We start from the raw sequence: 26,798 nt of genomic DNA on the forward strand, positions 1-26,798 counted from the left end.
GTTTGACACTTGGTTGGCCTTTAATTGCTGCATATGCCCAATACCAAATTTTCTAGCACTGTGCTTTGTTCATGATAAGCATGTTAGTTATTGCTGCTTCAATCTAAATGAAACAAATGAATTAGCAAATTCCTTTTAACTATTACATGTTAGTATAGTTTATACCAACTATTTGGATACATGGCTGAATTTCTCTAGTTTTTATCCAAGTATTTGATGTTACATAATGATAACCTCTGTGACTTGTTTTTTTTTTTTTTTTTTTTTTTTTTTTTTTGCTAAAATTGCCAAGAGGAATACATTTGCTTTCCACTTAGCCATAATATAAAATACAACCTTGGGAATGGCTGCTTTAAAGAAACGTTTCCATAAGATACATCATACTTGACATACTTTAGGGAAGCTTCTTCAAGGAGTTGTGGTTAATATTTTTGTAATGAGAAAAAAGAATCACTTCAATGACCTTTCCTGAAAACTTTTGATTTTCATACATAATTATTTGTTGAAGGTGAAAATATGTTTCTATTTTGAGTTTTTTGAATGCTGATTATAATCTTTAGATTACAATGCTCCTGTGTATTGTATTGATGAAAGATAAACTGAGGCACATACAGATTTTTTTTTTTTTTTAGTGTCCTCCTACACAAGGTAAGAAATTAGCATAGGAATCAGGATGGCTAATGTTAAGACACCAAATAGATACTTTTATTACCTCTGGATTATATATTTATTTTAAAAATCTGTGATTCTTTTGATCCTGTAAAAGTGTGGCCAGGCTTTTACAGAATTTTCTAACTTTTCAATAAATGTTATCTTTATATATGCAAAAATACATGTTTTATTATTCCTTATTCAGAATACCTTAGAGAAGGGAGGTAGTATGTGTTAGAGGAAAGAAGTAAAACATGAAAGATATGGTTTAAGATCTACTTGAGAGAATCACTTACCCTCTCTGGCCTTGGAGGTTTGAAGTAGATAATGTGTTAAGAACAAGTAAGAGTTTCAAAATTTTTTTTTTTATTTTTTTTTATTTTGTGCGTGTGTGTGTGTGTGTGTGTGTGTGTGTGTGTGTGTGTGTGTGTATACATGTGTGTGTGTATTTTAGTCTGTTCTGAGCCCAGGGACACAGACTCAGTAGTCAGGGGCAAGTGCTGAAATGGAAATCAGGATAAACGACAGAGCAGCTGTCCTGGAAGTAACGTCAGTGGACTGTCTTTTAACAATGTGAATCCCTGGGCCCTATCAAGTCAGAATTTTCTAGGAGGGGATGGAAGTGAGGTGGGTCTGTGATTCTAATAAGTGCCTCAGGTGGTTCCAATGGTCACTGAAATTTAAGAACCAGTTCTATTAGATAAATATATTTGTTTCTCTTTCCCTGAAGATAATCGTTTAACAGCCACATTCATACATTTCTTACAGAAAACATGGGCATAATTCCTAGCTCCCTTCAGATTGCTAATGGCTAGAGGGTGCCCAGTATGGAACATGAGGCCAGGCTGGCCAGTGTGACCAGGGACACCATGGACACCTGAGACTTCTTAGCAGGATTTCTTGAAGATTATGATAAGATAACCAACAGGGTAGAGCTTGCCTAGAAGGTGGTGAGCCTGAGGCTTGGGTCTGAGAGAGGATCTTTGAAGAGACAGTGCAGTGCTCCTAGGTATTGTTTCCAACCTGCTTAACAAATTCTTTTTGTGGTTCTTGGAATGTTCAGAGCAACAGACATTGAGGTAATCAGTAATCTCTGAACTAGGTGATTGACAAAATTTAAAAAAAAAGTTACTACAGGAGGGTCCAAATCAGGGCAGCTTCCCAGTTGTTATCCTGCTAGAAACTAGCTACAAATATCAAGAAGGAGCCCCTTATGGTGTGACAGTCTGTGAGAGGCAGCTGTTGGGTAATGAGTAAGATTCTGGGGTTGGGAGCCAGATGCGCAGGGTTCACATTTCTGGCCCAGATTTACAAGCTGTGGAACCCTGAGCAATCACTTCTACTGTAAAATGCAAAGACAGGGCCTATCTTGTAGAGTCATTATGAAAATTAGAAAACTAATACATGTCGAGTGCTTAGAACAGCCCCTGGCACTGTTAGCTGTTACAGTTAACCCTCCCCTGCACATAGTAAAACAGGCAACGTCCTGTGATGTTGGAGCGGAAGGATGTCCAGTCTGCATTCCTGTTGACTAACAATGGGGTCTGAAATTCTTACTATTGATAGATACTCTGGATTAAGACAGCAGCAATTCTAGAATTATTGCATGATTCAGGAGGAGTACATGTTCAATCATTATGCTAGTGATACACCTTGACTTTGTCAGATGAGCTAGACAGGCCCAGAGGGAATTGCCGTTGGATTAGTCCAAGTGTGAGCAATGACATTCAAGCAAGTTTCAGCAGAATGTAGTAGGGTGAGGACCTCTGAGGGCAGTCCAAGGCTACATAAAGCAAGAAGTAATCAGGGGAACATGCTTTTGTTTTGCCTATCCCAGACAGGCTTGCCTATGAGAGAAATTAAAAAACAATGAAATAGATAATTTCACACTTAACCAGCATCTAGGTGGGTTGTGCGTCTTTTGAATACTCATGGTTTTTCTCCCTTAGTTATGGAAGGCTGCTGTCCCTCTGTCTTTATTAGTAGCTCTGTAAAGCGCTAGGCTGAAGTGCTCTATTGATCTCCAGATAGTACAGCCAGACTCCCAGCTGCCCTGACAGTTGCCTCTGCTCAGAGCCCCAGGAGCCGGGTGAACATTTCTGCCTTGGTATTCACTGGGAAGGTCCCTTGTTCGCACAGACACTGTCCAATCCTGCGCAACATGGAGTGAATAAAAAATGGCTTCTGAACAAGAGCTTGCAATTGTGGGAGGAGTGAGTGGAGGGAGGAACAGCGGCCATCTTATCCAAGGGTAAATGAATTTAGGATTTATTTGAACCACTTAGTCTACCTCATGTCTACATGATCTTCTGTCATGCTGAAAGAAACGGATGCTTATTAATTCCAACAATGAGAAGGAGCTTGACTTTAAATTAGAGAATCCACAGAGCCTCTTTTCATTCATTTGGTAGCTTTATTCTATTATTTCAGGCAATGTAATGTTGCATATTATAAGATCTATATCTGTAATTTCTATATTTATGTATTTAAAATTGTAACTTGGTATATTTAGCTGGTTTATGTTACATGCAGCGTTTAAGAGGAATTCTTTTCATTGACATACTATAATGCCCCCCTAATATTCTTCTTATTGATTTTAGTATTTCAGAAGTATTATTCATGGTGACATCTACTGGAAAGCAAATTTCAGTTATATCAATAGATATTATTATAATATAGAAAACATTAATATTTGATGGTGACATAAGTGTGACACAAAGGCAATGAACTCATTAATAAACATACATATATCATTAATAAAGCACTCCAAGGTGGCAACTATGAATTTTCAGCTCTTGTTTCTAAAGTTCACTATTTATTTGCCAAGTATATTTTGCACATTGTCCATTGTTCACCAAAGTCATTCTCAATTAATGAAGCTGATCCCCCTTTAAGGTAACACAAAGCTTGAAAAGAATTATAATGATAATATCAGTATGAAATCCATGAATTTTCTAATAAAGGAAATTTATCAAAACATAACAATGTTTCCTTCTCTTTTTCTTTTTTCTTTTTGTGTGTGTGTTGCTTGGCAACCAACATTGATCTGTTCCAAAAAAAAAAAAAAATCACATGACTTAGGAATTGCTAGTGGCAATATTACTGTGTCATTTTTCTTTCTCATACCAAGCCGATGAAGGTTCTACTAACTGGAACAGCTATTAATTGTTTCTTCTTTCTTTGAACTTTAATTTCCATGTATGCTGTGCATTGAGAATCGTTTTGCTAAAAACTGAGTGGCCTAGGAGAGACGGCCTAAGAGAGCTGAGTGGGAAAGACTTCTTTTTGAGATAAAAGAGAGAAGTATCACATTCAATTTTTATTCATGATTAATCAGGTCAATCTTGTCTTCCCAAAATGTCAATTATGACAAAACCTAAAGTCAGGCAGCCTCCATTTTTCCTCACTTATATTTTGAAATGAGAACTCCAGAACTCTGCTGCTAGCCTCCAGGAGGCTGACGGATGTGTAAGTTCCTGTGTGTTTATTAAAACCATCCTCCTGATCTGATCCTGCATTAATGCACTCCACCTTGGAACTTCCCATCAGCCTGTGGTGTCCCCCTCCTGCATATTCAGTTCAGATTCCTGTATAATGTCACCCTGTCTTGAATGAGGCACTCCGTTCTCAAAGGAAATCTTTGATCTGCAGTCTCCTCCCTTTTGTTCTAAAAGCTACTGCTTACAAAGCATTCAGTATTTTGGAGCTACTCTTCCATTGCTGTCATAGTTTTTTTGTTAGAATTAAACAAATCTCAGACATGGACAATGGGAATTTTGCTGAACTCCAGAAATTGTTTTTATAAGGTGTTTTTCTGTAAAAGAATCAGCCTAGAAGAAATTATGCTTTGCCTGCAGGTTGGAGACAAGTGGCAGCACTGACACGCCAATCAAATGGTCAAAAGTGTGTCACAAGTAAATATAAAATTGTTTCCTTTCCAAATCCTTTGTCTTTTACCTACAGTTACTTGTTTATTTTGAAAGGCTTTGAAATGTATTCCTTGTCTGAGGTATATCCAGTTTCCCATTTCCTCTGTATTACATTCTCATGTTTATGAGAATTGATGCTGTTTTCTCATATTGCTTTTGTGGCTTCTCCCACCCCACCTCGTGTAAGAATCTAACAAGGCAGAAGCTTTGGAGACACTTTACTGGCTAATACCTGACCTCCCTCTCTCACATTACAGCTCCAAGTGACCATTTTCAAGGTAAAAGGTCATCCCCATCCCCATCCCTTTGGAACCAATGTGCATCAACCTTCTAACCTCTGCCTCAGGAGATGATGGCTGTTTGGGCTGCAATCCCTTCATTACAGATGGTCCATATTTTATATTTAGTGTGGGAAGTCAAATTTAGGAAAGCAATTTCTCTTAAAGCTAGGAGTTCCAATAACCCAACATCTTCTATTGGCTTATGAGTGAGTGGGCAGTAATGGGTTTATGGGAAGCGCCCGCTGGTCTGTCTTTTCCAGGGAGGGGATTATTCCTGTCAATCTAAATTTTTAGAATTGGTGGGCTCCCATTGTTTATTATTCAGCAAGCTTTTATTAGATTGTCTCTAAGCACAAGGCAGCAAGTGCAGCATCCTTCTGAGTAGGCTAGCAGGCTGGATCAATATTTCCAGGCATTTAAAATCTTGGATAAAATAGTGCTATGTTTTCATCTCGGCTCCAGAAGAGGAGTCCTGCATGTAGTCTGTCTCAGAAAGAGGGTATAGAAAGACACAGGATGACATTAGCATGGACAATAATGGTCTAATGATGATAGAATTCACGAATAAGATGGTACATTTTTCAAGTGAAGTTACCTTCAAATAATATTTTACTCTTTTGTGACAGTTTAGCCTAAATGTATATAAAAAAATAGTACTACTGGGCGACACGAAAGCATTTTTGTGCTAACTTCAAATGAAATACCACGGGAAGATTATACTAATTTAAAAATTAACAACGTACATGAATTTTTGTCTATTACTACATGTAAACATGAAGTGAGACAGAGACTAGATGAGCTTATTTGTCTGTAGTAGATGAATCAAACCAAGCACAGTGACTTGGGACCAAAGAGAAGCCATGTGACCACAGGGCCTTTGGTTGTGCAAACCTCAGAAGGCCAAACTATCCTAAGGAAATGTGGGTGGGTGACATGAGCCACATGTCAGATATCAGATTTTAAAATCCCTTATCCTGGTTTTCTAGTTAACCTGATTGAAAACTAGGTTGGAGTAGAAGAGACCCTAGGAAGGAAAGTCTCCTGAGACTTAAGTGATGTTAAAATAAACGTGTCCCTCACCTGCTTCCCATCCCCTCCACCAGGAATAAAGGCATATGAGGACACACATGAGGCATGATCCACTCAGGCCATCAGGCTGGTGTGCCCTGAAAACATTTCAATTTAAAAAATGATAATAGGTGATATGGTTTGGCTCTGTGTTCCCACCCAAATCTCATCTCGAATTGTAATCCCTACATGGTAAGGCAGGCACTTGATGGGAGGCGATTGGATCATGGGGGTCATTTCCCCCATGCTGTACTCGTGGTATTGAGGGAGTTCTCACTATCTGATCTGATGGTTAAAAAGTGTGGCACTTTCCTTCGCTCTTTCTCCTGCCGCCTTGTGAAGAAGGTGCTTTGCTTCCCCCTTGCCTTCCACCATGGTTGTAAGTTTCCTGAGGCCTCCCCAGCCATGCAGAACTGTAAGTCAATTAAACCTCTTTCCTTTGTAAATTACCCAGCCTCAGGTAGTTCTTTTCAGCAGTGTGAGAACGGACTAACACAGTAGGTAATGATGGTATGGTAGCTGCTGGTCTTATTATTATTTTTATCACTGTTGAATATTTACTATGTTGTAAGTATTCTCACAATATTTTCTCACAAGTTCTTTTGAGACAAAATATTGTTATTACCTAGTTACTTTACACTCAAGAAGATGAGGGACATGAAGGGAGGTAATATTTATTAACTACCTCTTATGTGGCAGGCAGTGTGATAGAAATTTTCATACGTGTTATTAAATTTTATTCTTAAAACCTTTGTTTAATAAGGTATATAGAGGAACTATAATTACACAGGTGAGGAATTGGAGACTCAGAAAGGTTAAATAATTTGCCCGAGGTCATGAAGCTGGTAGGTGGTAGAACTGGGTTGCAAGTAACCAGGTGTGCTTTGTCCCTGGATTGCATTCTGTTTTCACTTGACAATAACGCCTCTCGGAAAGAGCAAATAACCTCCACATGCAGGGTCTTTGTCTTATCTCTCAGAGGTATTTGTCTCCCCACTGCCTCACATACACTCAGCTCTCAAGATATTTGACCCCAAGAGAATTGGCCAGATAGAGATGTGAGGACGTGTGAGTTGAAGCCCAATGTTATTACTCTCTGGCACATAAAGGGCCACAATGTCTGAGTAACACTGGAATCAGAAGACATGAATAAACAGAGGTCAAGGTGGTGGTTTAATCCCAACGACATGTAAACAAACTCACTTTTAAAAGTTAGTACTATTAACTCGTGGAGTAAAGCTCTTATTCGACAGCAAGTTAAATTTACTTTGTTTTTGGAGAATATTTCATCAAAGAGTTTGTGTCTAAGTCTTGACTATAATTTTGTAATTGGGTGCAGGGAGTTGCAACAATCTTCCTAGGAGCTGAGGAAGAGGATCTAACATGAGAACACAGAAAAGGCAGACCTAACATCACTGTGGATATTTCTTTCCTCCTTTTCCTGCTTGAACAGCCTGAAAAGTTATCACTATTACGATCCTTGTGGGTTCCCATGTGCCTCATTTCTTCACATGTAAAATTGGATAATGCAATTGTAGCATGACCTGTTGATTAAAGAATAACATGCAAACAAAGCAGTAGGAGGAAATGCCTAGGTGTCTGGCAAGAAAAAAGAAACATTGTCCTTTTTGTTCAAATGTTATTTTAAAAGTTCAGGGAAGAAGACGATCAGGATGCTAGTGAAAGCAGGTGGTAAAATGCTGAGGCCACAGCACTTGGTCAACTATTAAACATGAACCCTGTCCTAGTTACCAAGGATTATCTATAGGGACGGAGAGGGAGAGAAATCCAAATGGGGAAAATGTCGTGGGGAATCTGACATCAGGAATGCACTGCTTTTTCTCTGTGATGTTTTTTCTGTCTACGAGAGAGAATGCAGTAGATGCGAAGTTAAATCTTTGGTGACTAAACTCTATTCTGCCTCTCTTGGCAAGAGCATGAAAGCCACCTCTCTTTTACTCCAGTGTGCTAGAGGGAGTCCATGAGAATACAGCAACTCAGAACGAAGTGGGAAATTAATTAGTTAACTAACACCTATCCCTTTGATTAGCTATAAGGAGATATTCAAAGAAGGAACTGACATCCAGCCTCCTGGAGGGCTTTGGTTGGCATGTGTTTACGTGGACACAAGGGCAGCTGGGCATGGGAGCCCATGAGAACAGCACATATATATCTACAGAGTCATAGTGATGAGGCTGTGCCTCCCAGTGACTATGGCATGGACCCTAGAGTTCTGGAGACCTGGCCTGGAATCTTGGCCTTGTCATTTACTTTGGTGAGTTGTCTGAGTCTCAGTTTTCTTAGTAAAAGTTTCCACCTCATAGGGTTTGAGGATTAAGAACTGCATTTAGCCCAGTCCCTAGAACATATTAAAAACTCCGTAAAGGACAGTTACAATAATAATAATAAACTCTTAAGAAAAGATTTAGGGAGAAAGTTAGGTTAAGCATGATGAACAAAAGTTGATGGTGGTCAGAAAATATTTGTGGTGCTGAGGAGTTTGATTCTTTTTAAAGTATTGATGAGTGTTCTGCAAATTTTTGTAATGAGAAAGTCATCACATTTTATGACATAATTTATAGAAAAAGTATTAAAATAACATTGGCATCACTCACCCTTGCTTTTTACACTAGTCTTTGGCAGTTGGGGGAAAGACCAGGGCAAGCCATATTATAAGGCAGCATTTTCTAAAATATACGTTCAGAACACAAGTTTCTTGAGAAATGTTTGTGAGATTCACACTGAACACTATTGTGTTAAAGGCTCTGTGATGTCCCCAAGTAAGTTAATCTGCTTAATTTTGCTAAATTCAGTACTGTATTTTTCAAACTCATTTGGCTCATTTTCTATGTATTAACTGTTAACATCACTGAAACACTTTGAGGAAAGCTGATCTAAGGCAACACTTTTCTCCTGGAGATAATCTGCTAGAATTGTAGGGATAGGGCCAGGCACAGTGGCTCATGCTTGTAATTTCAGCACTTTGGGAGGCTGAGGTGAGCGAATTGCTTGAGCCCAGGAGTTTGAGACCAGCCTGAGAAGCATGGCAAAACCCCATCACTACAAAAAACACAAAAATTAGCCACACGTGGTGGTGTGCTCCTGTAGTTCCAGCTACTCTGGAGGCTGAGGAGGGAGGATCATTGAGCCTAGATAGGTAGAGGTTATAGTGAGCTGTGATCGTGCCACTGCACGATCTACCTCAAAAACAAAACAAAACACTCCAAAACAAAACAAAAATACCTCAAAAACAAAAACAAAACAAAACAAAACCACTGCACCCTACCTCAAAAACAAAACAAAACAAAACAAAAAGAATTGTCGGGATAGAATCCAGGAGAAAATATTAAGTTTTGTAGATGTGGAACTAAAAGCCCCAACCTTAAGTTGCCATAGAAATCTTTGCTAATAACCCTGAAGGAATGCCATGCCAGTTGTCTGCGTTGGGCAAAAGTGAGCAATGCCTATCAGGCACCATTTAGTGAGTACCTACATATTTATTAAATGTTCATGCTTGACAAACACTTCAGGGTACACAAAGTCAAAATTTGACAGTGCCATAAAACCAATTTGACAGTGCCATAAAACTACTTGCTAAATATTGGTGACTCATTTTGCTGAGAGTTAATTACGATTCTGTAAGTAAAAATTAAAAGGCAATGAAGAGTGGACTCCTGTGAGAGGAAGAGAGAAACAGCTCCACCCAACCTCCTAGGTTTTCTCTCTGCCTGGATGTAAGAAGTGCTTATGAAGCACAAGGAATATGATTATTTTGTCATTGAAAAAGGCAGAAAAGGCCTTACTTTTATTTTAGGGATTGACTCTATATTGAGCTAATTCTGACTCAGTGTGCTTTTATCTTCACCCAATTCATACACAAGGTGTCTTGTAAATTAGATTTTTTTCCCAGGAAAATAGGCTTTTAAAAGGTAGTTCATGCCTAAGCTAGACCACAAAAACCCATTTCAACTAAATTTTCCCTGAACTTTCAGGACCCTGCTATCCTAAACCTGATAATAAAAGTGATGATTTTCACCATGTATCTAGTCAACAAATATTTAATGGCTTGCAATGGCCTGAGGTGTAAATACGGAAAATACCTGGTCCTAACTCTCAAGTTGCTTATCTGGTAGACTATATAAGATTTGAACAAATAATTACCAGAAAAGGCAGTTGCTGATACATGAACGGGAAATAAAGTACCCTGGAAGCATTCTGGTAGGGTGGAGAAAGCCTTCTTGGAGGTGGCATTTAAGTTAGCGTCACAGAATGGGTAAGGATCTAACAGGCAGAGAAAAAGGGATAGGAACTTAAGACAGAATGATTTGAAATCCCCTCTTAAAAACAATCCAGCAGGAGCCTGGTAAATGATCTTACTTCTCATGCTCTATAGTTTCCTCATGCTAAGGTCTACAGAGTTGAGATAATTTCCAAGAGTCTGACACAGCAGCTCTTTCCCTTACTAGGGCATGAATAGCAGAACTGCAGTTAACAAGTCTTCATGGTCCCAGAGAGAAATTGATATTTGCTGACTGCATTGTGCTGAAGTAAAATTACAAGAGTGCATTAAAATCCTTTGTAAAGAAGGTTGAAGACATTACAAAAATGCGTGGGCACCTTGGGCATTAATATTTGATTCAATATCTTTTAGTTGCATATGGCATATTTTGATGGAGGAGGCGTGTACAGATATAAATACAAATTGGAGAACCACCAGGGCCACTGCTAGCTGTCTATAAGACTCCTGGCTGGCGGGATCCACTCAGCCTCACCCCATACACAGACTTTCTGAGGCCATATTCTGAAGTAAAAAGAATCAAGGGAGACTTTTTTCTGTCTACTCCATTGTTTATAAATGGAAACTTCCATCCCTCTTCAGGAGGAGCTGGGAACGTCATGCAACAAACAACCATATCACACCACACCCAGTAAGTATTGCTAGAGCACCTGCTAAACATCTACTAAGTCCAAAGTCCTATGTTCAGATACTGACATGGGTGACAAAAAGAAAAGCTTAGTTTCTACTCTTCAGGAGCTCAGAGTCTGGGGGAGGGACAGACACAAATAACCAGTGAACGTGAAAATGGCAAAATAAGTGCTTTGGGAAGAGGCGAGGGAAAAATGAGATCCTGCCAGCTCCCCTTGTATCCGTTTCACTGGAAATGTTTTTCTCTATTTTCACTCATAAACCACCTGCTTGGGACTCCGTTGGCCATCACCAATACATTTTCTTTTTCTCTGTATCTCTTGTCCAGCTCAACCCTGCTAGAGCAACTTCCTTTGCTGATGTGCAAGAGGCTTTCTTTTCACCCCTTCCTATCAGCCAGGGTTCAATTGCAGTCCACAGAGCCCATTCAAGTTTGATTAAGCAGAAAGATATTTATTACAGGGTATTAGGAACTTACAGATTTCTAGGGACAGGTGAGAGAACCAAACATGAATGCCAGACAGCAGAAGTGAGCAGCGAGGAAGAATGCTCAGTTACTCCCTGAGGCTGTTCCAGTGGAAAGTCCACAGCTGCTGCCACCTGTCACTCTACATTCATAAAACTACTACCTGAACACCAGAACCTCTGCTACAGCTGCTGCAGATTAACTCAACACTTTTATGACCAGTGCTTGCCAGAAAAGGCTGTGGCCTTATCAATTTTAATTTTTTAATCCAAAGACTCACAGGGTGCATTTGCTTGGTTGAAGCTAGTCATGTGCAAGGGATGTTTGAAATGGAGGTTTTCAGATTCTTCTTGGGAAAAGCTTAATGAATCATGCGTAAAACTACCAAAATGAGGTTAACAGAATCATTGGGAGCCACAAATGACAGGTCTATTTTATCTATTGTATCATCACTTAGACTATTTGCCCTTAGAAAGTTTGAGCACAGGTTTTAAAAAACATTTAATGATATGCACAGAGGGGCCTGGTAGAGTATACCATTTCAACATTTTACCAGGTGTAATGTTCTGAATGTGTTCCCTTAAATTTATGTGTTGGAAACATAATCCTGAATGTAACAGTGTTGGGGGCTGGGGCAGAATGGGACATGCCTAGGTCATGAGGACTCTGCCCTCATGAAAGGATTAATGCTGCTATAAAAACAGCCTGCAGGAGTGGCTTTGCTCTCTTCTGCTCTTCTGCCCTGTGAGGATGCAGCAAGAAAACCCTCACCAGATGCCAGTGCCTTGATCTTGGACTTCCCAGCCCCCAGAGCTGTGAGAAAATAAATTTATTTTCTTTATAGTAAACAGTTGATTCAGATGAGCAAAGCCCTCTGTGCCTCCAGTCTTCTCCCAACAGTGTGCCTGTCAGCTGCTCAGAATAAATATTTTTCAGTGGGATTGGCTGACTTTTGATCTATACACCTGTCAGAGTCTGATTCATATTTTCTCTGTCAAAATCTCTATTTACATAAATTAATCAACTTAAGTCTATTTTTAGAGGAAGCAGGATTAAAAATTTTGCCATAAATTTCTCATCTTTGAAATTAGGATTAGGTCTAGAGGAAAGTGGATTAATGCATTTTTTTCTTGGAATCAAGATCTAATTTTCTTTCTAACCATCTCCCCTTTTGTTTTTTCGTGTTTTTTTTTTTTTTACAATATAAGTATCTTTACCATATTTTCTTTTTTTCCTCTCTTTCTCCCTTCCTTTCTTACTCACTTTCTTTTTGTCCTCTCCATTTCCTTGCTCTTTCTTTCTTCCCTTCCCTTCTTCCTTCCCTCCCTCCCTCCTTTCTTTTTCTTTCTTTCTTTCTTTTCTTTCTTTCTTTTCTTTTTTCTTTCTTTCTTTCTCTTTTTCTTTTTCTCTCCCTCCCTTCCTTCCTCTTTCTTTCCTTCTTTCTTTCTTTCTCTCTCTCTTTCTTTCTTTTTTTCTTTCTTTCTTTCTCTTTCTTTCTTTCCCTCCCTTCCTCCCTTTCTCCCTTTCTCTCTTTCTGTCTTTCTCTCCTTCACTCTTCCTTTCTTTCTCTCTCTCTCTCTTTCTTTCTTTCTTTATTTATTTCTTTCTTTCTCTTTCTTGCCTGCCTGCCTGCCTGCCTGCCTGCTTTCTTTCTTTCTTTCTTTCTTTCTTTCTTTCTTTCTTTCTTTCTTCCTTCCTTCCTTCCTTCCTTCCTTCCTTCCTTCCTTTCCTTCCTTCCTTCCTTCCTTCCTTCCTTCCTTCCTTCCTTCCTTCCTTCCTTCCTTCCTTCCTTCCTTCCTTCCTTTCCTTCCTTCCTTCCCTTCCTTCCTTCCTTCCTTCCTTCCTTCCTTCCTTCCTTCCTTCTTTCTTTCTTTCTTTCTTTCTTTCTTTCTTTCTTTCTTTCTTTCTTTCTTTCTTTCTTTCTTTCTTTCTTTCCTTCTTTCCTAGCAGTCCTTCTTGGGGTGAAGGTACGGTGGGGAGGATAGTCTTTTAAATCAGCGATTTTTTCAACTGGGATGATTTTGCCTCCCAGAGGACATTTGGCAATATTTGGAGATATTTGTGGTTATTACAATGGGGGAGGGGGGATGCTACTGGCTCCCCCCTGTAGAGGATACTGGGTTGAGGCCAGTGATGGTGCTAAACATTCTGCAATGTACAAGACACCTCCCCACAACAAAAATGATCCAATTCTAAATATCGAGTGTCAGGGTTGAGAAATCGTTCTTTAAATGAAGCTGATTCTATTCTGTGAAGAACATAGTAGTAATTCCTAAGAAACTGAGATGTGTTATATATGTTTAAGATATATTTCTTTCCTTAAAATTTCAGATTTGGGAACCTGGGAAATTAGGTTGAGGGTAAACACACCTAGTAGCTTCTTGTCCAGACAAAATCAAGAGGAGGCAGAGATTGAGAACAGTGGAGAGGGTCTCTTGTAGTAGGGTGACCAATTCCTCCTGGTTTCCCTGGGGCTTTCTAGGTGTTAGCACTGTAAGTGAACATAAAGTGAGCAGAGCTTAGGAGTGTAGAGAGACCTCATGATGTCCTGCTTCTCTCCTCTCTTCCTACCCAGGACTAGATCGCTAGCTGGCCCTTTGATTTAACTCTTCATCTACCATAGTAAGTACAAGTTTTATGTATATAGACTTGTCTCTTTTGACAGCAATGATTATAGTTTCAAATAACAGACAGAAGAACCCATTAAAGCTGTATATGTGGGAAATGTGAAAGACAAAGCTTTCTTTTGATTTATTTTTTCAAAATGTATAAATGGTAGACTATGTGCTAGGAAAAATAGATGTGAATAAATAAAATTATGGTGGAAATTTTTGTCTAGGCATTTTACAGAGTGGGTGAGTTTACATATTCTCTGGGTTACTGTGATAGTTGTGACAGATAGGTTTAAAGAATTAAAGATCAAATTCGTGAAGAGAACAAGGAAGTCTATAAATATCTGGTCTTATTGTAATTGAGATGGTTAACCATAAAGCAATGAAGGGAAACCCATAGAAAACATTTAGTTCACAAGTAGAAAGAATAGTTAAAACTTACAACAGTACAGGCAAGGAACTTAAGATGATAAATATTTTTAGTGCCAGTTCTAATAACTCTGTTTAATTGTAAACCAAAAACCTAGATGCCATCACACATGAGCTGTGAATATTAGTGGCCCAATTTATCTGGGTCACATGACCATGAGCAGACAGTGGAAAAGGGAAAATTGGCATCTAAAATTTATTTCCTTCCTGGGTTACAAAACAGAACTACTAGCCAGGTTGTAACCTAACTAAATTGGTCAGTAAAACCAATCACAGTTTTATAGAGTCTACACTAAAGCTGGGAAAGACACTACAACTCAGCAGAAAATTTACCAACATGCCAGAGTTAAATAAGAAAAAGAACTTGCATGATTCCTACTAGCAACAGCTAACCTTAATAAAATTGGACGTGGCAGTTGAGATGCCCAGGCCACTGGGCTAGATATTACCATGAGCACTTGGGCAGTTTCCACACAGGGCTAAAGTAGGGAGTAGCTGCAGGAGTGGGCCCCATACTCCTCTGGTCCTTGGCCTTTTCAAGACCCTAGCAGCATTACCCAGGCAATGGAAAATTGAGTCCAGTTAATTCAATTGAATCCAAGGTCTTGGACACCACAGACGTGCTGATTCTGTCAATCTTCATTCAATTTTTTGCCTTTATATTTCTCCTGGGTGTCCACCCATTTTCCAAATGGAGATCCTCCTGTCTATTTTTTACACAGTGTTTCTGGCACCTCAGCCTCTTCTTGCAGCACTCCTTCCCCATTCTGGCCCTAACCATCACCTATCTTTCATAGGTCAGAAGATATGATCTATGTCTCATCTGAAGATGTCACTTATCTGTATCCCTCTAAATAGTAAAGTAGATAAATAAAGTATATAAATAAAGTATTTTATAAATAAAATAAAGTATCTAAATAGTAAAGTCTATAAATAAGTATAGACTTCTCCCCCTCTGTGTCTTTTCTCACTTTCTACAGCTTCTTTGATACTATTTCTCTTCATTCCCAAAATATTCTCCCTGCTTTGAAGATCACACCAAGCTTTTTATATTCCTCTGCACGCCCTGTTGCCATTAACTCCTTCCCCTCTGATCTGTCCCATGTGAGTGACATGGGGACTTTTCTCCTCTCCAACTTCCATCATCACCTGAGTGATTTCTTATATCACGTAGACAATATATTTAGCACCCTATTTCCAATTCCTTGATCTCAGTGCCAATGGCCTTCATCTCTAATCCACATCAATGATTCTTATCTACAGCAACATGTTGCCATCATGGGACTGTTCCATACCTGAAATCTCAAGCCCCACAGCCCTTTTCTAGGATGGCGCCTCCCATGTGTACTGCCTTCTCTGTCACCCCAACAGTGCCTGCCTCTCATGCTTCTCGATTACTCAGTTTTCTGACTTCTTTCTGCACCAGCCTAAAATTGCTACTGTTCGTCATAACTTCTCTCTCACCAATACCATCATATCTCTCTACTGCTTATGTTTTTGGCATGCATCTCCTACACACTTCTAGTGGCACAGTCTGTTGAATACTGTTGGAGAAAGTCACAAACTGCATATTTGTGTCAGTACAAGTTCATAACTTCTAATATCCTTTGGGCCTCAAGATCCCTTACCACTTATCTTCCTTCCTTTCTGGTGAGTGCTTCTATTTCCTTTAACAGCTTTGTCTTCTCTGTGATGCCCATCCTAATTTCTCTTGGTGGATGGATCATCCCATTTAGCTACTTTAAAGCATGTACAGAACACAGTGGTGTTTACTTATAAATAAATATCCTTAGTTTCTACTTATTAGAAATTACAGATTATTAATCAGGAACTTCTTAATTTCTTGTCTCCTTGTCTACAAACTTATTTACATCTGTATCATTCTCTGGACCCATAGGAGGCATTACCCTCCCTGCTCTGTTCTTCCTGAGTCACCTGGAGCCTTGCTGTATCAACGATCTACTTTTTCTACTGTGTTTTCAGCTTCCTCTCTTCCTTCCCTTAGCTTAACATGTGATCAAGTTCCTCCATTCTAGCAAAACCAGAACAAAACCTTCCTTGTATTCTACAATGCTTTCAAGTATTTAGACAATCTCTCTTTTCCCTATCATAGCCCATTCTTTTAACATCCTGTTTACTAAACCCCACTGCAACCTAGCCTCAGCCACTGACACCGTTCTCGCTAAGATCACTGTGGGAATAGTCTGTGTTTGTCTTATGTCAGCTTCTCTGCAGTACCTGACACTTGGGAGCCCACTCCTATTTTTAAGGCTCCCACATCCCCTTCTTTACACCAGCAGTGTGATGAGATGATTTGAATAGGCCAAGAAGTGGCCCACGTCTCTGCCTTGCACATGCCATTCACTCTTCTTGGAATGCTTTCCTCACCATTGCCTTCTGTCTTTTCTGCCTAGATGAATTCTCATTTATTCTTCAAATTCTGGCTTAGATGTCACCTCCTCTTGGCAGACTGAATTTCTCTGTATGAACCTCTTGTTACTAAGATAGCCTCCTTAACTGAAGATCTCTTTCTTCAACGTGGACTTCCAAAACAGCCTCTGAGTTATGGAGTCATCTGTTTTAAATCAGAAACAGAAAAAATAGAGGAAATCTTGGATCTTCTTTATTGCTAATAAGGAAAACATTACACATATTTTTCTATTGGCATGCACTGGCAGTGTCAACATAGTCTAGCTAGTCATTTCTCTTTCTACCTGCTCTAACCTTATCTTTTTCCCCAATTTTAATGCATTTTTTGATTGGCATTGACTGGCTAATTAGCATTTACTTCTAGCATGGAGGCTGGCCTGATATAAAAATATTTACAATGTTTAAAACACAAACTGAATTTTATATTTTTTTCAATCTGAGTTATAAGAAGGTCACTGGTTCTTTCCTTAACAAATACAATGACTTTTAAAATACATGGTTTTCCTTGTAGCATGGTACATGCCTATGCTTTGTAGGAGAAGCACAGGATGTGGGTTTAGTTCAAATATAAGCATGTAATTATACTAGGGAAAAAAAGAGAACAATATTCTTTTTTTGAAGGTCAACAATAGACTCAAATATGAATTAATATTCAACACCACTGAATGACATTTCATCAAACACTTTATGTTTGGTTTTAATTTGTAATTTTTCTGAAAAAAGTATTAGCTAAGTAGATGAACTATGATGACACTGAAGTCTTCTCTACAGTTAGAAAGATCTCTTTTGCCAGGGCTCTGGACTGACTCATGTCTTTTCTGTAGCTTATGTGTTAATGGCACTGGTGTCACTGATACTTCTGTGCCCCATCACCATGGAGATTGATGGCAAAAACGATTCTGGCCAATATGGCTTTTAGATGTTGCCTGTCTAGACACAGTCAGGATTACTGGAAACTTGTCTCTTTTTTTAATTTCATGGATACTTTATCCTTTTGCACTTAAACCTTAGTCTCTAAGGGGACAGACAAATCTTTCCAGCTTTGATATTTCACAGGGATGATGGGTTTTGTTTATGTTTTTATAGTTAACTACATTTGGTCCTACTCTTTCCTCCCTATATCCTCATGTGTTAGTGGAATAGGTTTATCCAGTGGCTTTGAAGGATACCCTGAGTATTTTGCACGTTATCATGTGTACTAGGTATAATACTTTTGAAATAGCTCCTTTTAATGCTCTTTTATCAGATGCCTTCATCCATACACTACATCACCATTATGGTTGGGGCAGGAGTATGTAATTTAAATGCAACCTATGAATGGAGGAGGGTAGGACATAGGGATGTTCTATCCTAACTGGAAGAGTGGAGAGAAAGCCCACTGCTCCTGGATCTAGGGAAATGTAGGGAGAATGAGTGGGTCAGAGGCAGAGTGGAGAAGTCAGCATGTTCTGAAGGGGCCCCCTTCAGTGAGGAACACTTATGATTGGCAATGGGATGATGCTGTGTAGACCTAAACCTCCTGTCTCTTCTCTATGGTTAAGGCTTCCTCTATACCCAAACACCATTTTGAAGTAGGAGGAAATCTGAAATACTGAGTCTTTAAACCAAATAAGATGACTGAATCGCCTATAGCAATTTTGTTTACAATGGCCCTTCTGAGTTTACTAGATTGGACCAAAATGAACCACTCTTAACTCTTCTGCCCAAATGTTATGGGCTTGGGAGGAAGATTAGTTCAAACACGAAAACAAAGAAATGATATTTTTCTTTGCACATATAAGTATATTTTGAGTGTGTGTGGCACTCTCTTATACACAGAGAAGGAGACATGCCTCTCTCTCCTGAAAGCATTGGGTTAATGGTCATGAATGTGGGTTAAGTGTATGAGTCAGGAAGGCCTTGCCCCAAGATAACATTGGCTAACACACCCTGAAAATGGAAAATAGTCCTGTGTCCACTAAGGGTGGGGAAAGTGCCTGGTGGAGGCCAGGCCCCTGAGTGGCTTTTCTCTGGGGATTGACTCTGGCTGGGGAGGTTATGGGAGCTTCTCTAGCCATTTCCCTGTCGGGCTGTAAAGCACATTGTGGTTGACTCTCCACCTCTGTTCCACACCAGCTGGTTATTACAGCCCACTATTTTTCAGTCTTATTGTACTATAGTCTTGTAGTATTTTTAGTCTTATTTCCAGTAATTGGTTGAGGAATGGATAAACTTCCACTTATTTGAGCCAATGAAAGAAAAAAAATCTTTCTGGGGCCTTCTTGGAATGACATTCTGGCCTTCAGAGAGAGAAGTGACATATTAGCCTAATGATCTGGATGGTGAAGTGGAGAGATGATAAAATAGGGTTTCAAATGGCAGGGTTGAGTCATTGGATCAACTGACCCAGGAGCCTGCCTCACCTCTAGACTCCCCCTAGAATGAACTAATCTATTTCTTTATAGTTTGACTCTCTTGTAGGTGAGATTCAGTTATTTGTGGTGCCAAGTAAGCTGACTAACACATAGGTCATTGATATTTTTCTCCACAGTAATTATGCAGAGAAACAAACTACTTTGATTACTGCTTTGATGCCAAGTATATATTCCACAGGACATTTTCTAAAAATCTATTTGTAATGCTTCCAAGTAGATAAGGGATTTATTGGCATGGGAATTCTGGACATCTGATTCTGTTCCTGATTTTTTCTAGTAACCAGATGGACAAATATTGATTTCTCTAGATATCCCTTTCCTTAGTAGTGGAATAAAATCCTTAGACACAAATCTCATTGGTTCTTAAAGCTTAGTGTACATTTGAAAAAAATGGGTTGGAAGAGTGCTTAAAATGCAGTTTTTTGGGCCCCTCTTTAAAGAGTCTGATTGATTTTTAACAAGTACAGTACTAGAGATAATTCTAATACAAAGTGTTCAAAGGGCCACAGTGAGGAACTCTGAACTAAAGACACAGTTAAGATCTTTGCACGTTAGCTTGGGGCCTGATTTGTCTTATCCATCAACAATTGTTACCTGTACCATTGCTGTACTTTATTCTTCCCAGTTGTGAAGAAACCATGGATTTTAGCAATGAAATTTTATTGGGATGAATGACCAAATGTAGGGGCTTATAGAATCATCAAGCCGGAAAGAACCACAAGAGGTCAACACAGTTCACCTCCTTGCTTCTGGGACGGACTCCATCAAAAGCGCACAGACAAATTGGTGTCTGCTTCTATTCACAGAGGGCTCAAGAAAGTGATGCCACATCTACCTGGAGTTGTTGGTCATGTAAACTCTTCCTAAGCAGATAGTTCTGGGAATGACATAGTCTGAGGAATCATATATTCTCATTTGATAATTTTCATATTAGCCTTGTATGAGTGTCTGATTATCAAATAATTGAGAAATAAAACATATTTGAAACTAATATTGTCCTGAGTGTAATTTAATCATTCGTGATTCAAAAGGGAATTCTTGACCTCATTAGGAATAATGCTTGAACTGGAAAAATAAGGAGGGCTGGTTAAATTGAAATTCACAATTGATAGAATGCTACCTAATGGAAGTTCTTCCTTATAGCTGGTTTAATGTCTTCCTGCTGCAATTTAAGCTGGTTTTCTCTTACTTTATCCTCTGTGGAGTGGGAATAAACTCTGATTACCATCCCCTCCATAACAATCCTTTATTCTTTTGAAGAGTTATTAACTTCCCCTTCAGACTTCTCTTTTTAAGGCTAAAAAATTTCACTTCTTGTAACCTTTCCTCATATGTTTCATTTTTCAAACATTAATAATTTTCATTATGTATCCTTGGACTCACTCCAAATTTTCCACATCTTTAAGCAGTGATGTTGTAAATAGTACTAAAATAATAGCTCTGGTGGTTGCAGGGTGCAGTTTCCATGCACTTTGTTTGTATGGAGAGACAGCACAGTGTAGGGGATGGCACATGGACTCTGGCATCAGGCTGCTTGGGTTCAAATCCCAATTCTGCCAACTTTGCAGGTTATTTAATCCCTGGGCTTCAGTTTCCTCATCTGTGAAATACGTATAATAACAGTACTTTGCCTCCTAGAGTTTTTAAGAGGATTAAACAAATCAAGTTGCATAAATAACTCACAACAGTGCCTGGTACAGAGCTATTATCATGGAGGGAAAGTCATGGAAAAAAATGCAGAAAGAATATTAGCTTTCTAAAATAGCTAGTTTTATTCATACAGAAGGCAAGTTATATATAAATGGTTTAAGGATCACCAGCTATGGAACAAGAACTTTCTTGTTTGGAGTGAAAACTTTAAATGTTGCCTGTACTGATGGGTCTCAGGAACAAGGAAGGGCAGGATGCCTGGGTTCCAGGCTCTTCTCTGTTACTTGTTAGCTATGTAAATTAAGGAGGTTCCCTGAAATGTTTTGAGACTTAGTGAATGCATCTGTGAAATATGAATAACACAATTCATCCACCTAAATTATATGGTTTTCAGTTTCTTTTAGGTATCTAATATGTAGGTTTCTGATACTAAGTTTTGGTTAAGAGTTGATGGGAGGTTTGGAGAATGAAGCCGTAAATCCTAACAAGTAACAATCTACTGAAAAAGAGAGGAGAAAATGATGAAACATAAATGAATCTCCTTTCTAAATATCAAAATCCAACGGCAGGGCTTGTATCCAGGTTGGTTTTAAAAGCATGATTTCCCATCTTATTTGGAGATAATATGGTGCAGTGGTTTTAGAGTATAGGCACTGGCGTTGAGTTAAATTTAGATTTTTGACTATGGAAAACTTACCTAAGTAAATCAGATTACTTATCTTCCTTTGGCCTCAACTGTCTTATCTTTAAAGTGGTGATATTTATGCCTACTTTGCAGGGTTGGTTTAAGAATATAAACAAGATAATATGTGTGAAGCACTTAGCAGAGTGACGGCACATCTTAAATCCTGAACAAATGGTCCCTTATATGATACCTCTGGTTTTTTTTTTTTTTTTGGTTTTGGGGGCGCGGTTCTAGAATTTAAAATAATTAACTCTTCTTGGCCTTTCTGAACACATGCCTGTCCGAATGTTATGTTTGGGGTACACCCATGAGTGCCTTGGGTTTGGGGCAGTGAAAGTTCAAGTTATTAAGTATGAGCAGGTTGTGGGATGGCAATACCCCCTTTCCAAATTTGAGCACATTTGCTTAGATGAAGTGCTGGCAGGGGTTGGGGGCAGGCCCGGAGGAGAACTGAGGATGGGGAGGCAAAACTTGAAGCCACATATGATAATGCAAACCACATTTCCTGGCTCCACCACTTAGTTCTTTCCCTTGGGAAATTTTTACTGGTATTTTGCCTTACTGCGAGTCTTTGCACTTCCTGTTATGAACTGGTTAAGAAGATAATTATAACGTGGTTATGGGAAACAGTAATGAAATATACCTCACTATACAGCAAGAGAGATTAAGACCTCTGCCATTTGGGAGGACAGTAAAAGAAAGTTATTATTTTTAAATAACATTTATTACTTATTAAATTATAAAGAATTCTGTCTTATTTTAGACATTTTTGAAAAACACAGAAACATAAGGACTATTAAAATGACAACTCTTCCCAACTCTCAGTAATAATTACTGTTCACATTTTGTCATTTTTTTCTTTTCTTAATCTTTTTTTGTGATCGCATATGTATTTATGCATATATTATTATAAATGATGTATAATGTTGAAATATTTTATATACTATTAAATAAAATCTGTATAAATATATACACATATAAATATAAATATGTGTATACATACATAATTTTTCACCCTGTTTTAATGGCATTGTGTGGTAAACATTTCCTCACATAATTACATATTTCTAGAAAGTACATGATATTTCATTTTATGGTTGTCATATGATTTTTGTAACCAGATTGACATTTACATTATTATAATATTTTGATGTTATAAATGAAGCTGCAATGAGAATTCTTTCTCAAAAATTGCTATGAATATCTGTGGTTATTTATTTGGGATAAATTTCTCCTCAAATACATTAAAGTTCCCTACGTGAGGCCAAAGTAACTTCTGGGAAGATGGTAGCATGTTACAGTTTGCTAGCAATGTATGCGAGTTCGTACTTTACTTCATTATCATGAGATTAACAATCATGGTTTTGAATCTTTGTTAGTTTGCTACATTAAAAAATAGTTGAACATTATTTTTGGAAGGTGTATGTGTGTACCCGTGTTGTTTTTTGTTTTAAATAGGTGAATGTGAAAGGATTTTTGGTCTTTTGTATTTCTTTAATTTATTTATTTCTATTATGCCCTATGACCATAAATGAGATGTTTTTACTTATTTTCATATAAAAGTTTATATATTATATACACTTGTATATGAGTGTTTGTGTGTATATGTCCGTTTAAGGTATATTGCCTGTCATACATATTACAAACATTTCCCTGTAGTTTTTTATTTGCATTTGCGTCTTGTTGATGGTATTATTTTGATTTGACTTTTTCAAATTTATTATGTTCAACTCATCAATACTGTTCTTGGTGTTTTTAATGCTTATAAATTCCTAAAATCAATGTATTACTTTATTTTATAAAAAAGATCAATTTTATGGCTTATTTTTATTTGTAAAATAAAAGCCTTTAATCCATCTAGAATTTATTTGGGTGTAGTATACATAATATTGTGCCAATTAATCATCTTTTCTTTTTGCATAAGTCTAAAGATGTTCTTCTTCTTTTGGTAAGAAACAAAGATTTCCCTAAGCCAAGCAAAGGCTACAGAAGCAAAGAAATTTGTCTCTCGTTGGCTGCAGGCCATCTGAGGTGGGACAGAAAGGCTAAGTGACTGGCCCCTGGCTCCAAGGGAGTTTTAATCCATGGGCCAATGTTGGTATAGCAGAGCTGGTCTGCTTCTGTATTAAGAGAAAGGAATTTAGACACTTATGCTCTCAAGGTTCCTAGTAAAGTCATAGAGGCAACAATCTTCTGTTGATTGAATTTTAACTTAATTTAATTTAATTTCCTTGGCAATCACAGATGGTGTCATCCAGCAGCTAGAGGCTAAAAAGGGGCACTCTACAAACCGAATGAAAACATGTTGACTTATAATGAGAAGCACAAGCAAATGGAAGCAAAAGTGTGACAGTCAACAGTGAGTTGCAGCGTGAATTCTCAGGATAGCAAAGGCCTGGACTGCTCACCAAGTGCTTTGTGCAAGTTTGAACAGCCACAGCAATGTCATCTAAAACGACTGTTCTCAGGGTTAGACTCTACTAGGGTGGGTTCAAAAACATTAAACAAAAATGATGAAGGAAAAGTATTAGAGTGTTCTTAAATGAGTAGCATCGGTACGGTTAAAATTATGTTTGATTAGAAATAGACAAATATTTAGCTAGGAGTGGAATTTTATCTCATTCCAAAGCAAGAGGGGAGAAACATCTGGCTTTGTTGATTGTGCTTTGGTGTTATCATTTAATCATATTTATTACAATATATTACCATATTTGATGTTTGATAATTTATGTTGCCCCAAATTACGAGGCTGTCTCTTTCTAATGAAATGATAAGGGTAGGTGATTGGAGTCTCATGTGGAGAGAAGGCACTCATGCCACGGAGAGAGTTTGAGGGGAGGGGTTCTGAATCATCTTAGGCCCTCTGTCTCCAGATATGTTATGCATTCACCCAGTTAACAGCCATTTCCTGTAATCAGTAAAAGCTCCTGATGAAGATGGAATCAAGAGGTTTCTGTTTGTGTTGCTTCTAATCAGCCCACACAACGGATAGGTCAGGGAAGAAGCTATGTTCCCCCGGTGTTGGAAAACAACCCTGAGCTCTCACCCCAGCTGCGGTGGTTATCTTTATTGCAGACCGCAGAAGCTCAGGCCTGGGCCATTTTCTGATGCCACTGATATGATGATACTTTCTTTCTATCAGTCTTTGCTGGAGATTTTGATGTTTCAAGCCATATTCAACAGGATATGAACTCACCATTGTTCATTTTTTTTCCAATTTTGGAGAATAAATGGTATGCTTTCACGAAAATTTGTTAAAACGCAACCCTGATAAGCAAGTGGATCTAAAGGTGGCTGTCAGATATCCCTTTTTAAAATAGAAAACCTGCACTTTGAAATGCTCAAATTGTACTATTTTCTATACCCTTGTAACAGGTCAGGTGCCACAGCTTGATGAACGAGATAGAATCGCACAATGGGATCAAAGGGACAGCCAGCCCAGTTTATTTCCAGAGGAAAAGCTTACCAGGACACAAAGGAGGAAAAAAGACTCGGCTTGAAACCAATTCTTCCCTGAAGTACAAATGTAAGAGAAAAGACATCACCAGGAGCAGTTACGTCTATGGCAATCGTAGCTCTGTAAGCCTGGCCTGCTCACGTGGAAGTAAATTATTTGATGAGCTGGGGAAATATAAGCAGTTTGTGTGGATTAAAAGGAAATCCTCACCCAAACTATATCTTTAAAAATTATCTAGATAATTCAGGTGAAAGCAGGCTTTCTCCCTTGTGAATTATTAAAGTAATTGATTACATCCATCTGCTCCTCGTCAGAGAATTCAAGGGCCAAATGCTTTTTCGGCGTCTCCTTTTCTATCCTTCCCTTTCATGTGACTTACTCTTGTCTGAATCAGGAGTTTCTGTGAATAATCACCGGCCAGCTGTCACCGGTTCTCTTTTCACCTGTTCTCTTTGCAAATCTGAGCAATCCAAACCTGCAGGGGTAACATTCCCCAACTGACTGAGAGTACATAAGTGGTTCTTCAGCTCTGAGATGATCCTATCATTGGCTGCTTTAAAATTTGTGATTAGTCTGCTTTTTGGGCATGTGAAATATAATTGGTGGTGCAGATAAACTTTTATTCACCAGAGAGAGCTTATTACAGAGCTGCTTGTCATGACACGTGGAAACTCAGGAAACTTCTGTGGAGTCTCTGTGTGGCGATTCTGGCCAGAATGGTCGTATGTTTTCAAGATGCTAACTCTAGTTTCCCCAAAGCTGTCTTTTGCCTGCTGGCTTTGGTCCTATTCCACGTGACTGTGGAGTGCCTCAAACTCAAGACAGCAAATGGGAAAGGAACAGGATCTGGCTCCTGGGAATGGCCTGCTACCTGACAAGGTGCCCTGATCAGCTGAGTGCTAAAAACCCCGTGCTGCCCTGTGAGCCTACACGTCGGGTGAATGATCTCCAGCTGGATACATAGGGGGATGCAGGGTTAAAATGGAAGTATTTGTTTCAATTTAATTAAACATTTTAGCCAAAATTCTACGTAAGCTGTGTTATATGTAAACTTGAAACCCAAACCCCTGGTTTCAGTTGCCCCCTCTTATAATTATGAGGTTCATAATCTTGGCCTTGGATAAATCATATAAGTTCTTTGAGCCATAGGTTTTCCATCTGTAAAGTGGGGATAATGGTTCCTGCCAGGCCTCTCTGGGTTGTCATGAAATTTGAATGAGAACCTGAAAGCAATTAGGGAGCTCTAAGCAAGCTGTGTAACTATATGACAAACGGGTGCGTGGTTTAGAATAATAATGTGTATTGAGCACTTACTATGTGTGAGGCATTGGTCTACCTTACATGTAGTCACTCACTTAGTTGTCATCACAACCCCATGAGATGGATACTATGATTGTTTGTTCCACCTTTCATGATGGAGAAAGTAAGGCAGAATGGTTAAGTAACTTGTCTTAGGTGGCCCAGCAGAGAAGTGGCCTGGCTCTGGAGTCTGAGCTCTTAATTTCTGTATACCTATAGCACCTTCTACATCAGCTTTCTAGGAGCAATGTGTATTGGTAAGTGGATACAAGTCCTTGAGAAGTACCAGTCTAGTCCTTGTTTTGGTTAAATTGGCTAATTGACTAATAACAGTAGAGGCCTTCTCTAGCATGGGATACCCAAAGCTTCAATCAGGTAGGACCACTAGGCATGGTAGCTGCTGTCAGGATCAGTATAGCCACCTGAGTGCCACCTCCACCTCCCTCCCAACTTCTTCCCCACTCTTCTGGCTCTGCCAGGAAACTATGGTGCAACACTGT

At 38.8% G+C, this 26,798-nt stretch overlaps 2 long non-coding RNA genes across 6 annotated transcripts in view; both read left to right on the plus strand.

The window, feature by feature from the left end:
* The window catches only part of LOC107983981 (uncharacterized), a 417,903-nt gene that overhangs the window by 300,570 nt on the left and 90,535 nt on the right, over positions 1 to 26,798 (plus strand). The gene's annotated exons all lie outside the window — the stretch shown is intronic.
* LINC02490 (long intergenic non-protein coding RNA 2490) lies at positions 12,044 to 25,377 on the plus strand. The gene is made up of 3 exons (NR_147181.1): positions 12,044 to 12,137; positions 13,898 to 13,944; positions 24,918 to 25,377. It is a non-coding gene; the product is annotated as a long intergenic non-protein coding RNA 2490 (long non-coding RNA).

This window comes from Homo sapiens, chromosome 15 (genome assembly GCF_000001405.40).
Source record: "Homo sapiens chromosome 15, GRCh38.p14 Primary Assembly".
Taxonomy (NCBI): Eukaryota; Metazoa; Chordata; class Mammalia; order Primates; family Hominidae; genus Homo; species Homo sapiens.